The following is a 16,937-nucleotide window of genomic DNA, read 5'->3' on the forward strand; positions in this document are numbered from 1 at the left end:
GAAGAAGAGTTGTGGGTTATGCAGAGGAAGCCTCCAGGTAGCAGGCTTCAGAGGGAATACATTGTAAACGTTTCTTATCACAGCTGATTCTTTCCTGAATCAGGAAAAAGGCCTGGAAAAGTAAGGGGATTCTCTTCAGAATGTAGATTTTTCCCACAAGAGACAGCTTTGCAGGACTATTTCAAGATATGGCAAAGGAACATAATTTGAGGTAAAACACTTCAATTTCTTTCAGGGCCTGCTATCTGTCATGTGATGCTGTACTAGAGTCAGGCTAGAATTTGGTATCTCGTTGTTACAAAGTCTGTTTTGTCAGTCTTAAGGTCTATTTTAGTACTAATGCTAGTCAGCTGTGCCAGAATTCCAAAAGGGAGGAAATAATGAGGCATGTCCAACTCCCCTTCCCATTATGGTCTGAACTAGTTTTTCGGGTTGACTTTGAAATGCCCTTGGCTAAGGGGAGGGTCCATCAGTCAACCAAGGGGCTTAGAATTTTATTTTTTTGTTTACATTGCTAAACCCATAGCCTAAGACAGATACACAGACTTGACTGTGGGATTGGAAAAGAAAAGTGACTGGTGGGTAATTGTCTAGAAAATTTTGGTAAAGTCATGGCTATGTATCCCCATCAACCTATTAGGAGGATTAGAGATATTTAATTAATTCTTAATTTTGGAGGGTTAGAATCTTGGAACCGCCTCATCAAATGTCACTCCGTATTGGAGTTAGGGTAGCTGAACCATTGAGCTAAACCAGAGCATATGAAGAAAGAGCAAATGTTTGGAATCAGAAGGGTTTTAGGTCAGTGCTCTGACAATAGCTCATTGACCTTGGGAAAAATCACTCTGATCCTCAGTTTTCTCAGCCACACAATGGATATAATAATACTTATTGTCTGTTCTTTCTAGGGTTGTTCTGAGGCAGAGATAAGAAAGTGTGTGTCCCGGGGCCTGTCGTGGGGTGGGGGTAGGGGAGAGGGAAAACATTAGGAGATATACCTAATGTAAATAACAAGTTAATGGGTGCAGCATACCAACATGGCACATGTATACATATGTAACAAACCTGCACATTGTGCACATGTACCCTAGAACTTAAAGTATAATAATAAAAAACAAACAAACAAACAAAAAAAGAAAGTGTGTGTAAAGTCTTTTTGTATACTGTTAAATGTTACATGGATGTTAATTGTTGATGATGATGATGATGATATGCCTAATGTGGAGCCTGGTATTTTTCAGGAATTACTAATCCATCTTAATCACTTTCTTCTAGAAATCACAGCAAACACCTGAGCAATGTCATTCTATAAACATCCCTGGTTAGGTTTAGGGAGCAAACAGAAATCTAGGGTTCAATTGTTGGAGTCCTCTCTGTGCTATTAGCTAGCACATTTCTGATAACTCCTCAACCTTCATGACAAGCTGAAATGTACTTTTCAGCTCAGACCCCTGTCATTTTTCTGGCAGAGGCTGAGAGATTTTTAGCACAGGAAGAAAAGCCTAAGAGTCTTTTCCTTCTTGGCCTTGAAAAGAAAATATAACTGTTTGGCAGAAAAAAAAAACATTCACAGGTCTGACAAAGAACTAACATTTATTCTTTTAAAATGTACTTATGAAATAATTCAGATATATAAAACATTTTTAACAATTTATATTGTACACTCACATTTCCACCCACCTTAAGAAATAAAACACCAACAAAATAAGACTTTTGGTACCCCTCTGAGATTGTATCCCAGATAAGCAGTATCTTGAATTTTGTTGTTTGTCATACAATACATTTCTCTGTATTTTTGCCATTAACCAACATCAATTCCTTATAAGGGCATATCTTTAGCTATGCATGGTGACACGTGCCTGTAGTCCCTGCTACTAGGGAGGCTGAGGTGGGAGTTCACTTAAGCCCAGGAGTTAGAGGTTACAGTGAGCTATAATCATGCCACTGCACTCCAGCATAGTGAGACCCTGTCTCTATAAAAGGTATTTTTAAAACAATTTTTAAAAATGAGCAGAATCTTTCCAGATTTATCACAGTTCTATATATCAATATTCCTTCTTCATTTCCTGTTTTAAAGGTTATAGCATTTCTTTTTAAAATTGTAAGTTTCTCACTAACATACATGTTTTTGACATCTCAAGAATTGATCTTGGTGAAACATATATATTTTGGTAAAAAATAAAGCACCAATGCTCATTATCTTTATACATTGCAGAATGTCTCCCCCGCTCCCCCCTCTTCCTGAACCTCTTCTCCCTTCTTTATTTGCATTGGCATGTGGACTTCTTGTTCCCACCAAATGAGTCAGTGAGATAGAACGGATGTCAGTGTCTCCTGAAAAAAAAGAAAGATGCCATACTGTCTTGTAGAGTCACAAAAAGCATTAGTTTGAGCCAACGCTGAAAAAAATTGGGAGAGCTCACATAAAAGTCTGGATTTCTGGCTTCTTTAGAAAAATAGAAAACACTGATAACATACTGCCAACATTCCCACATAACAATCATCCACTTGAACCAAGAAGCAGCTGCGTCTTTTAAATGGGGCACTTTCCATTTTATCATGTTCCTATCACTCCTTTTTTCTCCCTAAGAACAATGTCATTTGCCATTTATTATCACACTTGGACTGCTGATGTTCCTTATGGTAGAGGAAAAAGTTTTTTCCTTACCCATATCAATTCTCTCAAAAGTAGGGAAAGAAAAAACAAAAAAATCAATCAAAAGGGCCAAACCCACTCTGAAGCCACCCTTAAACAAACAGATAGTCTAGGAAAAAAGTGTGCTCACTCCAAAATCACAACTTTAAGAGAAGCTCCCCTGACTTTTTTTTAATCAATTAGATCGCTGCTTCTAAGGCCCTCTTCTATAGGAATTTACTTCAGTTACCTGCCACCTCGAACCCTCACACCAACTTCCGGTCTCCTCTAGCTTCACATGTAATTTTAACCTAGACTTAAGACAATGAGTGTGGAAAATGAGACAGGAGAAATGTAGGAAGAGGATAAATGTTAAAAGACTCTCAACATAAAAGACTCCAAACATTCAAAGACATCCCAGCTTTGAATTTAGGGATGAGGCACAGAAATCAACACACAGTGGATAGGATTATTTGAAAACAACTTCACAAAAGGAGATCCACTTTAAATATAATTTAAAAAGGTTGGTGGTAACTTTAAAGTGTTTTTTTTTCCTAACATCTCATCAAATTTAAGCCAATCTAAAATATGATGATAGAGAATAAACTCTAACCTTGGAAAGTATATTTAGGTTGTAATGACTGAAGCATTTGGTAGGCCAATAGCAAATATTAAAAATGAAGAGAGGCAAAGTAAAGAAATTGTAAGTATTTAGCTAGCAGCATCCATGGAAAAAAGGCACTGTGTATCTGACCCCTAGATAAAACACAGGAATTTCAGCCACTAGCAAGGTGTTCTCTGGACAGAGTAGGTATAAATCATTTGGCTTCTATATAAATTATTCAAGTACCTTCTTTCTCACTTTAAGCTTAAGAAGAATCTTATAATTATTATTTTGGGAAAAGTATGTCTTAGCTAAGAGACATGAGAACAAGTAATCCTTGATGTATGAATAGCTATCTGATTTAAAAGCAACTGGTAACATTGTAGTATTTTCTCCATATTACTCATAACCCTGTTCCATGTACCACTCTTCCCATAGGTGACACCCCTGCTATTTTTTCTACTACTGCAAGTCACATGAAAAGTGAAGGATAGTGGTAAGAAATAAAATGTTATGCGTGTCTAGAAGTATTAACTCTGGCCATGGGTGACTACTCCAACAGCAGTCCCCCTCTTCCACCTCTTTTTCCTTAGACCCCTTGGCCACCTCTGTCATGGGAGAGGGAGGGTCAAGGGAAATCTGCTGAAACAAGATAAATTCTTGTATCTTTATGTAGAATCCTGAATGTCTTCTCCTATAGAAATACTATTATAAATTGTGGTTAAATTTAGTTTAAATCATACTGAATGTACCATACTTAAGCATGTTTTTTGCTAGATCAATCCTTTTGAATTAGCCTAGGACTCCAAAAATGATTGAAAAACATATTCCACAGTCATAAACACATATGTACAAGTGAAATTTTGGAAGCAATCTGTTTCTCAGTTTGAGAAATGCCTTTGCTCTCTCATTATTATAAATTATTACCCATTATTAATTTATAATCATCCTGGCTTTTTTATCTTAGAATTTAGGGTAGGAAGAATTAGTGCTGAATTAAGATTGAGAGTCCTAAATTGCAATACTGAGATTCATTCATTCACTAATAGCTACCATATATTAGTAGGCACTGTACTAGGTTTTGGGATATAGAATGATTAGAACAGATGCACTCCCTGCTGTCATGAAACCTGCAGTTTATATGAGGGAAGACAAATACTAAGCAGTTGACCACACCAATAATTAACTATGACTCTGTTGAGTTCTGTAAAGGGACAGTGCTGGGAAAAAAAAAAATTAAGTAAGGGAACCTGACCTCTTGTGGGAGTTAGGGAAGACTAAGGAAGGCTATATGGGGCCTGAAAGATGATTAAGATTTAGCCACTTAAACCAGTGGAGAATTAGTATCCCAGTTAAAGGGGCCAGTATCTGCAAAAAACCCAGGGTGAGAAGAAGTTTGGGGCATTGGAAGAAATAAAAGGAGGTAGTGTGTCTAGAACATATTAGCATGAGCAAAGGCTGGACTAGCAGGTAAGGGCCAAATAAAGCAGGATGCTTTAGGTCATGTTACAGATTTTAGACTTCACTCTAGTATCAATAAGAAGCCACTGTAGTATTTCATTTATTATGATTATAATTATGATTTTAGAGACAGCATCTTGCTATGCTGCACAGGCTGCACTTGAACTCTTGAGCTCAAGTGATCCTCCTGCCTCAGGCTCCCTAAGAGCTAAGATCACAGGTGTGCACCACTGCACTTGGCTCTGGAGTATTTTAATCAGAATGATGTGATTAGATTAAGGTTTAGATCCAGTCTGTAGTCTCTAATGACCCCACATAGATGTAGTTATACCCTCAAATTAGCCTGTAGCAAACAGCTGCCTCAGTCCACTATACTGCAATCAGCAGCATTCTATATAATGCATTTCTAAGTTCCTTCTTGAAGTAATTCCTCAAAGCATAGGATCATTTTTTCCCACATTGCCTCCAAGAAAAATTAACTAACTCTTCGGTCTATGGAATAAACAGTTACTGTTTTCTTTATTTCATCTTTACTCTTTTAAAATCTAAATAATTTATTACTTTTTCTACTAGCTTCTAAGCTCCTGTTCAGAAGTTTGACAGGAATTCAGAATCTAGTTCAACTCTTAGGCCACTAGGAATTCATTTAGGGAATTGAAGTGGCAATTTATTAGCAAACTGGCATGGAAGCCCATTTTCTTATCTTTGTACTGTATTTGTTTCTGCATTTGGGCCATTCTGAAAGTGGCAGTTATTCATGGCCTGAGAGTAAATGCAGTGTTCAGATTGCTAAATTTTGTGCTCATGAGAGATTGTACTGGAAGAATTTTATTATAAAATGCTCTATATTATAAGCACATCCAGTGACTCTTTGGCATCAATCTCCTTTTAAAAAAATTAAATAATCAAAAGTAACTAAATATAATTTAAACCTACCCCCAGACTCGTGCTATTGTTTTTTTCTTGCATATGCAGAGCTCTCTGATTATCCAGAGAGCTCAGCCTGCAGAAGCAGTGTGTGTGGGGGCGGGGTGGACAGAACAAGATTTTGGCCCTCCATTGCAAACTGTTGCCTTTTCAAATGATGCACACATGCTTGGTCCATCTGTCATCAAGGACTCTGCAGAGTAGTCAGTAAAACTTTCTATTCCATGTTTGAAACTGCATTGCCAAATATTAGTAACTCATTTTATTTATAACCGATTCTCCAAAGTAGGAAAAACAGGTGGTACTCGTGAAGAACTCAATAGTAGCCAAATTTCAAAGGTCAGATGCTGCAAGTGTGGAATAAGAGGAAGCATTCTGTGTTCATACTCTTACTGTAAAAATGTTTGCCTATGGCTCCTTTCCCCAACTATAATAGTAGTGCTTAATGCTGCCCAGGACCTCCTTCTAGAGCCTTGCCCCGAAACCCCAGCCAAATCACTATTCTCCAGGAAGTTCCCCAGGCTGCAGACTTGTAAAAATACCCTCATGGGAACTCCTTCCTAACTCATTTTATGAGGCCAGCATCATCCTGATACGAAAACCTGGCAGAGATACAATAAAAAAACTTCAGGACAATATCCCTGATAAGCATCGATGCAAAAATCCTCAATAAAATACTGGAAAACCGAATCCAGCAGCACATCAAAAAGCTTATCCATCGTGATCAAGTCAGCTTCATCCCTGGGATGCAAGGCTGGTTCAACATACACAAATCAATAAACATAATTTGTAACATAAACAGAGCTAAAGACAAAAACCACATGATTATTTCAATAGATGCAGAAAAGGCCTTTGATAAAATTCAACATCTCTTCACATTAAAAATTCTCAATATGCTAGGTACTGATGGAACATAACTCAAAATAATAAGGGCCATTTATGACAAACCCACAGACAATATTATACTGAATGGGCAAAAGCTGAAAGCATCCCCTGTGAAAAGCAGCACAAGACAAGGATGCCCTCTCTCACCACTCCTATTCAACATAGTATTGGGAGTTCTGGCAAGGGCAGTCAGGCAAGAGAAAGAAATAAAGCGTATTCGAATAGGAAGAGAGGAAGTCAAACTGTCTCTGTTTGCAGATGACATGATCGTATATCTAGAAAACCCCATGTGTTAGCCCAAAAGCTGCTTAAGCAATAAGCAACTTCAGCAAAGTCTCAGGATACGAAATTAATGTGCAAAAATCACAAGCTTTCCTACACACCAAGAACAGACAAGCAGAGAGCTCAATCATGAATCAACTATCATTCACAATTGCTACAAAGAAAATAAAATACCTAGGAATATAGCTAATCAAGGAAGTGAAGGACCTTTTCAAGGAGAACTACAAATCACTGCTCAAGGAAAGAGAAGACACAAACAAATGGAAAAACATTCCATGCTCATGGATAGGAAGAATCAATATTGTGAAAATGGCCATATTGCCCAAAGTAATTTATAGATTCAATGCTATTTCCATTAAAATACCATTGATATTCTTCACAGAATTAGAAAAAAACTATTTTAAAATTCACATGAAGCCAAAAAAGAGCCTGTATAGCCATGACGATCCTAAGCAAAAAGAACAAAGCTGGAGGCATCACATTACCCAACTTCAAACTGTACTACAAGGCTACAGTAACCAAAACAACATGGTACTGCTATAAAAACAGACACATAGACAATGGAACAGAATAGAGAACTCAGAAATAAGACTGCACATCTACAACATTCTGAACTTCAACAAACCTGACAAAAACAAGCAATGGGGATAGGATTCCCTATTTAATAAATGGTGCTGGGAGAACTGGCTAACCATATGCAAAAAACCTGAAAGTGGACCCCTTCCTTACACCTTATACAACAATTACCTCAAGATGGATTAAAGACTTAAATGTAAAACCCCAAAGTATAAAAACTCCAGAAGAAAATCTAGGCAATACCACTCAGGACATAGGTATGGGGAAATGTTTCATGATGAAAATGTCAAAAGCAATTGCAACAAAAGCAAAAATTGACAAATGGGATCTAATTGAAACTAAAGAGCTTCTGCACACCATAAGAAATTATTTTATCAGAATGAACAGACAACCTACAGAATAGGAGAAAATTTTTGCAATCTATCCATCTGACAAAGGTCTAATATCCAGAATCTACAAGGAATTAAAAAACAATTACAAGATGAAAACCAAAGAACCCCATTAAAAAGTGGGCAAAGGACATGAACAGACACTTCTCAAAAGAAGACATACATGTGGCCAACATATGAAAAAAAGCTCAACATCACTATCATTAGAGAAACGCAAATCAAAACCACAGTGAGATACCATCTCATGCCAGTCAGAATGGTGATTATTAAAAAGTCAAGAAACAACAGATACTGGCGAGGCTGTGGAGAAATAGGAATGCTTTTATACTGTTGGTTGGAATGTAAATTAGTTCAACAATTGTGGAAGACTGTGTGTGGTGATTCTTCAAAGACCTAGAACCAGAAATACCATTTGACCCAACAGTTACATTACTGGGTATATACCCAAAGGAGTATAAATCATTCTATTTTAAAGATACATGCACACATATGTTCATTGCAGCACTATTCGCCATAGCAAAGACATGGAATCAACCCAAATTCCCATCAATTATAGACTGGGTAAAGAAAATATGGTTCATATACACCACAGAATACTATGCAGCCATAAAAAGGAATGAGATCATGTCCTTTGCAGGGACATGGATGGAGCTGGAAGCCATTATCCTCTGTTACTGCAAACTAATGCAGTAACAGAAAACCAAACTCTGCATGTTCTCGCTTATAAGCGGGAGCTGAACAATGAGAACACATGGACACAGGGAGGGGAAGAATACACACTGGGGTCTGCTGCTGGGGGAAGCAGGGGGAGGGAAAGCATCAGGAAAAAGAGCTAATGTATGCTGGGCTTAATACCTAGGGATGGGTTGATAGGTGCAGCAAACCACCATGGTATATGTTTACCTATGCAACAAACCTGCATATCCTGCACAAGTATTCCAGAACTTAAAATAAAGTAGTAAAAAATGCCCTCATGGTCCTTCATTTCCTTCCCATGTGGTTTTGTGCTGATAAATTATGGCCATCTAATCTCACAAATTCATCCATGAATTGTTTTAGTGATGATTGTTGGTGTTAAACCCCTCCTGGAGATGACTACAGAAAACAATGGTTATAACGTCAAAAGATTTTAGCTACATGGCATGTCAATACGCAAGACAATATTGTGGGGAGGAAGGATCTTTCACTTATTAGTCTCTTATACTGTGATCATGAGAACATCAACAAATTTCTGAGGAATTAAGAATAGAATAAATACTGGGAGATAGCTTAATAAAGTTCAGATTTTCAAAAGGGAAAGAAGGATGCATTTTGGCTGTCTAGTATCCTTCTTTTTTTTTTTTTTTGTAACACTGTTTTTTTTCTCTTGGGAAATTACCTCTTTCCCCATTGGAGTGGCATATTACAATGCCTTGATGTCTTCTAGCCAGGGGATGGGCTTGTGACTAAATATAGCCAATCAATTCGCACACCTTGAATGACTATTAAAATGACTGAATTTTTGTGGACTTTATTTACCCTGATAGGGCATTTTAAACAGGCCATCCATTTATTGTTGCTATTGAGACACCCAGAACTACCTTGGGTTCTTGGTCTTTCTGAAACTGGTTATTTAATCTTCTCTTTTTAGTTCTTCCAATGAATTCTTTTTTATTGCTAAGTTAGCTAGAGTTCATTTCTGTTGTTTGCAAACAACAGAAAAGAACACTAATTCCACAAATATTCATTCTAAACTGGTAAATGTGATATTTATCCTATAAGTTTCTAGAGAGATTATCTACCAAATCTAATTCTTCTACCATTGATGTGGTGGGACTCCTATTCCTAGTCCCTTTTGAAGTGAAGTATGCTCATGTGATTTTCTTTGGCCAATGAAAGGTGATTTGGAGTGATATGTAGCATTTCTAGGTGAAAACTTTGAAAACCAGTGTGCAGTTTGCCACTGTTCTGGCGATCAGGGAAGTTTGTGTCAAAATGAAATCTCTATTAGCATGGGTATCTGAGGGACTATGATGAAAAGAGCTTCTCTGCTGCCCTACATTAGGCTTGTAGTATAAGGTAGTTATGAACTTTTGCCATGTTAAACTATTGAGATTTGGCCGGGTTGATAGCTTGGGGAGCTGTTATTCTGACTAATATAAGAGCGACTTTAAAGGATGCAGAAAAAAGGGGAGTTATTTCTGGTTCCTAGCTAGCATGGAGTCCTCAAGGATAAGACATGTTAGATATTTTACTCTCATTTTTAACAATCAGAGTTGTTAGACCAGAAATATAAGAGGAATGGAAAAGGCTGAATTTCTCTCCTAACTTAAGTAATATGTAAACCCTATTAAGAAGAAAGAAGAGGGCCAAGCACAGTGGCTCATGCCTGTAATTCCAGCACTTTGGGAGGCCGAGGCGGGCGGATCGCGAGGTCGGGAGATCGAGACCATCCTGGCTAACATGGTGAAACCCTGCCGCTACCAAAAATACAAAAAAAATTAGCCGGGCGTGGTGGCGGGCGCCTGTAGTCCCAGCTACTCGGGAGGCTGAGGCAGGAGAATGGCATGAACCCGGGAAGTGGAGCTTGCAGTGAGCCGAGATCGTGATCGTGCCACTGCCCTCCAGCCTGGGCAACAGAGCGAGACTCCGTCTCAAAAAAAAAAAAAAAAAAAAAAAAAAAAAGAAGAAGAAGAAAGAAGATAGAATCTGTTTAAATTATTTTTATTTTAATGATAGCTAAATATAAATAAAACTGTAAAGCAAGATCATCAAATATGAATGCTAAAAAAGCTACACAACTAGTATTATTAAAATTCATCCCGTGAATTAAAATAAAATTGCTGTTTAGTAATGTGAACATGGTATTGACTTCCATAGGTTTAGTCTTCCAATTCTATCACATGCCGTGTGATGATTCAGGTCACCCACGTTTTTTCTTTATTTGAAACACTGCAAAATCATCATTTATAGAGGACACAGTGATGTCATTTAGCCTGCTTTTGGTGTGCATGCATCATTTCAGTATTAAGGCATCCTTTTTTTCTTAATTAAAAACAATTAAAGTAGTACTTTTTGGTACCAAGGATAAATGCAGACCCAGGAACAAAAGTAGTGTGCCAATCCTCAGTTATAAAAGGGTCATTCAAATTATATTGAATACATTTGTATTAACTTAAAAATGATTCTTATTAAAATGAAATGATAACATTAGCATAATTCTCATAAGGGACTTGAGAATCTGAGAATATGTGGATTACCAAAGCTGCATGAAATAGTCTGAAAGACATTGTGCTTGTTGTGAAATATCAATATTTCAGCAAGACATGACATCTCTCACAACACTGGACATCCTCATGGACAAGATAATAATTATTGAACCATAGCAATAATTCATGGAATGTTTATTAATGGGTCAGTATCAATCCAGAGATAGGTTTCTAGTGGCATACCTCAGAGCCCTATCCCAAACTTGTTTTATTTTGTAACTTAACTGAAGTCACAAATAAAAGTGTAGAATGTGTTAAACAAACATATTAATGACAAGCTGGAGATGAAACAAATATGGTACATGAAGAAGAAATACACAAAACAACCTCTACCCCATCTCCTTTCCAAGATTTGATTCCTATGTCATCAGATGTCTATTCCACCCATGAGCCCTCCCTTTTGTAGTGATGTACTGACCCCAAGAAGATCACTCCTCCTCATTTCTGTCTCTTTCTCCAATAATACAGCTGTCTTTATTTTTGGTAATTTCTTCATACAGATGGATAATCCTTCCAATTGCCTGACTTTTTGGTTTCTTTATCTCCTTCCTTTCTTCCAATGTCCTTGTCTTCCACCTTCCTTCAGCCACTCTACAGGTCGTATCTTAAATTTTGTGATTGTGAATAACTGAAATCTCTGCATAATCTCAATTTCAAGTTTTCTATTCTGACTTCCACCTCCTCTAACCTTTTTAGTTCATTTCTTTCAGTACCTGAATTCCAGCAATCCTTTGAACCCACCAAGACCATAAAGTATTCTACTATCTAATCACTCATGTCTTTTGTCCCTTTGTTATTCAGTTTGAATTCTATGATCTATCAGTATACTAACTCCTGTACTTATACCCTTACCTTCTTTCCACTCGCCACTATCTCACTATATTGCTTTCACTCATCTTCAATCAAGACTAAATCCAATTTTATGCCATTGCCTATCTGTACTTGTTCAGTCAACATGACTAGAGAAAAACACAGAACAATGTTGACTTGTTTCATTTTGTATTCATGATCATTAACCTTAAGTGGACTCTTAATGCTGCCCACCAATTACACATAGGCCTACTCTGTTAGATTCAGATAATTATTTCATTCTTCTCCTTTCTTTTTAAATTTTCAACATTTCTTCCCTCATAAGCTTCACTTTTAGCTTATGACCTTGCTTCCACTTTGCCTGATAAAATAGAAGCAATATTTAAGAACTTGCAAAAGTGATACCACCTTTTCTACCTTTCTTAACATACTTGTGACCATATACTTTGCTTTCTCCTCTGTTATTATGGATAAGTTCTATGTACTTGTAAATAAGTCCAGGCCTTCAACTTTTCTAGATCTTTTCCCTTCTCTCCCACTCAGGGATGTCCTCCAACTATTCTTCCTACTTTCATGCATCATTGATTTCCCAATAGTAAACATTCTGTTTTTATTATCTTATCATAAAATAAATAAATAAATAAATAAATAAATAAATAAATAAATTACCCTTCTCTTGAACTCACTTCCTTGCCAGCTCACATGCCATTTCCCTTTACAACAAAACCCTAAGAAAAAGGTATTTATACGCTTCATCTCCAATTTCTCTCTTCCCCTTCTTCCTGGAATGCATTCTAAATAAGCTTTTACCCTTGCCACTCCACCACAACCACTCCTGTCAATATCATCCATGACCTCATGTCCTCATCTTATTAGACTTTCAGCAGCATTTGACAGACTTGAGCACTCCCTCCTTTTCACTTGGCATGGACAACACACTCTATTCGTTTTTCAACTACCTCATTTACTGTTCCTTTTTATTCTCTCTTCTTGGTTATTACTCAGTTCTTTACATTGGAATACCTTAGGTTTTAGTGATTACATCTCTACTCTTTTCTATCCATACTCATTCCCTTGGTGGTCTGATTCAGTAGCATGATTTTTGTTTGTTTGTTTGTTTGTTTGTTTAGAGATGGGGTCTCACTCTGTTGCCCAGAGCTGGAATGCAGGACTACAGGTGTGTGAGCCACTGTGTCTGGCTCTTTAAATGCAATCTAAACACTGGTGGTTCATGGCTATAAATTTATAAAGACATTTTATGGCTCAGGTCTCTCCCCTGAATGCCTGACTTAAATATCCAACTGCCAATGAACAGGGCCAAAATATTAACAGGTCTAAAACTAAGTCCTGATCTGCCCTTAAAAACTTTCTCCCCCAAGTTGAACAATGGGAACACATGGACACAGGGAGGGGAACATCACACACCGGGGCCTGTCGGGGTGTGGGGGGCTAGGGGAGGGATAGCATTAGGACAAATACATAATGTAGATGACAGGTTGATGAGTGTAGTAAACTACCATGGCATGTGTATAACCTATGTAACAAACCTGCACATTCTGCACATATCCCAGAACTTAAAGTATAAAAAACAAAACAAAACAAAAAAAACTTTCTCCCTTTGAATTCTTCCCTGACCAGTTAATGGCAACTTCATTTTTTAAATTGTTCAGGCCTGATACTATAAACTTCCAGCAGTTGTGTAACAGTTTGCACCAACTGATTATTACTTATTTAACAGTTCTTCATATCAGTACTTTTTTTCTGGTTATTGATCAATTACCTATCCCATTCTTTCAAGTAAGAGACTTTCTATTTTATGGTATCTAAGACTAAGAAGATAATCTCTACATTTCTGGGAACTATAATTTAAGAGGGTTACAGGCATCTGGAGGGTGTTAAGAGGAAAAATCACCAAGATATTGAGAGAAAGTAAAGCCAAGTTTATGAGGAATAGTTGAAGAAATTGAGGATAGAGAAGAAAAAAATCAAAGGAGAAGTTACATCTGTTGTCAAATATTTCTACAGTCCTTCATGTGGAGGGATGATGACCACAATTTGAACTATCTATCCTAGTACAGTTAAGCCATTAGGAATATGACAATGCTTTCTTCTGGGAATGGATAGACTTGATAATCAGCCACTAAAAGAACATAATACTGCAAGGCTTAAGCCATTTAGTTCCAAAGACTATATATGTATATCTATGACCATCTCTCTCTCTCTCTCTCTTTCTGTGTGTGTGTGTAATAAAAAACGAAAGGAATAATATCTTGAGATGTTTCACAGTCTTAATAAATTGCTATATGTCCATGATTGTTACTTTGCAATATCTTTACTAGCGTATAAAGGAAACCCTTTATTCAGTGTCCCAAAACAAAAAGTTTAGTTGGATGTTATCATACCTCATCTGAGAAAGAGATGATCAACAGTCTCATAGGTAGAGAAGTAGTGATTGGATCACGTCCAAAGAACGAGACTCTAGCGAAAATGTTTCTGTCCAATCCTTTTAAGAGACAGGCTTCTTTTCTGCTCAGATATGTACAAGTTTAAGGAAAGAGATCTGTCTCCCAAGGGCTGAAAAACAAATTGGAATTATATGTGATGTCTGTCATATATAGTTCTGAGTCTTTCACCTATGCTTTATAAACAATAATCTATTATTTAATTTTTGACTTGGCAAGGAGAAGAGGTTATTTCCCTGAGTTTCAGCTACAAATTCCCAAAAAAACTTCTTTTAAGACGAATATTGCAGAGTAACAAATTTTGACTTTCTATGAAAACGACTTATCATTTCCAGGATGTGTTGCCTCTAGAGCAGTGGCTCTCAATCTTGGCTGCAGTTGAAGTCACTTGAGAGAGTTAAAAAATTCTGATTTTTGGGTCCCACCCTCAGATTCTAATTTGGTTGATCTGGGCTGTACCTTCAGCATGGTGATTTTAAAACGCTCCCACAGGTGTCCCATTGTGCAGCCAAGGTCGAAAACCTCTTCTCTAGAGATATTTTAGTCCTTCTCTCTGTTGCTGAGGATAGATGAGGGAAGATGGGGGTGAGGGTAGTGTTTCATGTATGTGTTGGAGGATCACACTGAGCAAATGTTGCTGAAATAATCTAAGCATTAAACAGTTTATTGGAGTAGGTAGCCTTTTATCTTTTCCAACCTTGAGATTCTATCATCTTGTGTCTAGCCTTCACAGTGCACATATATGGAAACAAGGAAATGTATACAAGGATACAAATTCTACTGAGCTATACAAATAGGGATGATTGGCTAGTATAGCTGTATTCTTAGTTGCTGCCTCTTTGGGTGAGTAAACTATTATTTTATTCTGACTGCTTTTCAATGCACATGACATAGTTTTATTAGACTACATTATGCACGGCATCATTGAGTCAAAGAAAAGTTATTAGCCTGCTAGAAGAAGCTTCTTAACCAGCTGTGAGGGCTCGTTAATATACATTATGATGTTAATAGTGCACATAAATGTGTGTTGAATAGGTGGTAGGGGACAGAAATTGAAAGAAAATTAAAAATGTGAGAGAGACTGCAGCACATGGGAAATAAATGCTCATTGCCACTAGTCTCAATTATTTTTCTTTTTTTCAAGGTCAAGTTGGCAATTTTTCACAACTCCTACCCACAAATGCCCTTCCCGATTGATTGACTCTTACAGCTAGAAGCTCTTCTTACACCCAGGAGGCAAGCTTGCTTCTTTTATGATATTAGAAAAAAATCTAAATGCCAAAGTGAAAAGAATACTGAGCTTCTGTTTATTTTTATCTGAAAATCAAAACATCATGCAAACTCTAAAGCAGTTAATTTTGATTTTAATCCAGGGTTTAAAAAAATAAGCTTAAATAACTAAAAAAATATCCAGAGGAAAATTGTTAATTATTTTAAATAAACATAAATAAAGCCTTATTATAACACTGCTAGGTAGGAATCTCCTAATTCTTCCCACTCAGTAAAGCATGCTATCTGATGTGGCAAAAGAAAGAAAATCTTTTGTTCATCTTTCCTATTGCAGGATGAAAGAATATCTAATGCTTCCATAATTGTGTAGGACTTTTTCTCATGGATTTTTTTCCCTAAAATTTAACCATAGCTTGAAGAATCAGGGTAAACTATCAAAATTTTGTACATAGAGAAGGGGAGAAGTCTCTAGGGATTCTTAATTGTCATATTGATGAACAAAGTGTATTAGTCTGTTTTCACACTGCTGATAAAAACATACCCAAGACTGGGCAATTCACAAAAGAGACAGGTTTAATTGGACTTACAGTTCCACATGCCTGAGGAGGCCTCACAATCACGGCAGAAGGCAAGGAGGAGCAAGTCACGTCTTACATGGATGGCGGCAGGCTAAGAAAGAGCTTGTGCAGGGAAACTCCCATTTTTAAAACTCTCAGACCTCATGAGACTCATTCACTATCATGAGAACAGTGCAAGAAAGACTCACCCCCATAATTCAATCACCTCCCACTGGGTCCCTCCCACAACACATGAAAATTGTGGGAATTACAATTCAAGATGAAATTTGGGTGGGGACACAGCCAAACCATATCACAAAGAGAGATGTACATGATGTTTGATAGAAGTAGGAGAGTGTGATTAAATGGGAGAAGGCAGGAATAAAGTGGGAGGTAGGGGCTGTTAGCAGGGTAGGAAGATAACATTTCCAAGACAATCATTTAATTCTAAATATTATATAATGTATCAACCTCCTTTCAAAATTCCAATCTACAAATATTCTTTTTTTAGTGGCCTAATCTGTGAGATGCAGAGAGTAAATGTGCTTTTTTTCTCCAAAGCCCAACAATATCTTAAAAGAGGTATAGGATGTAGAATTGACAGAACACAGGAGTTAGTCATAGATTGGCTGTCACCAAGTGAGGGAGACAAAAGGATCAAGAGTAATTTCTGGGTTTCTGGTATGAGAAATCTAGTTGATTGAAGTACCACTCACTGAAATGGGGAACAGGAGTAGTTTAGTTCAGCCATGTTTTTTTGAGATTTCTAGAAGACATTCCAATGGAGCTATCAAGTAGAAAGGTGACTATAGTTCTGGAGCTCAGAAAAAAGATCTGGGCTCCAGTTATCAATTTGTAGGTGATTACCATA

The 16,937-nt window shown here is 37.2% G+C and overlaps 1 long non-coding RNA gene across 2 annotated transcripts in view; it reads right to left on the bottom strand.

The window, feature by feature from the left end:
• LOC105374069 (uncharacterized) overlaps positions 1 to 16,937 on the bottom strand; it is a 46,400-nt gene that overhangs the window by 12,161 nt on the left and 17,302 nt on the right. For both annotated transcript variants that reach the window (XR_924399.4, XR_924398.4), the window contains exon 2: positions 14,220 to 14,391. This is a non-coding gene — a long non-coding RNA (uncharacterized LOC105374069). The remainder of the gene's footprint in view (positions 1 to 14,219; positions 14,392 to 16,937) is intronic.

This window comes from Homo sapiens, chromosome 3, assembly GCF_000001405.40.
Source record: "Homo sapiens chromosome 3, GRCh38.p14 Primary Assembly".
Lineage (NCBI taxonomy): Eukaryota > Metazoa > Chordata > Mammalia > Primates > Hominidae > Homo > Homo sapiens.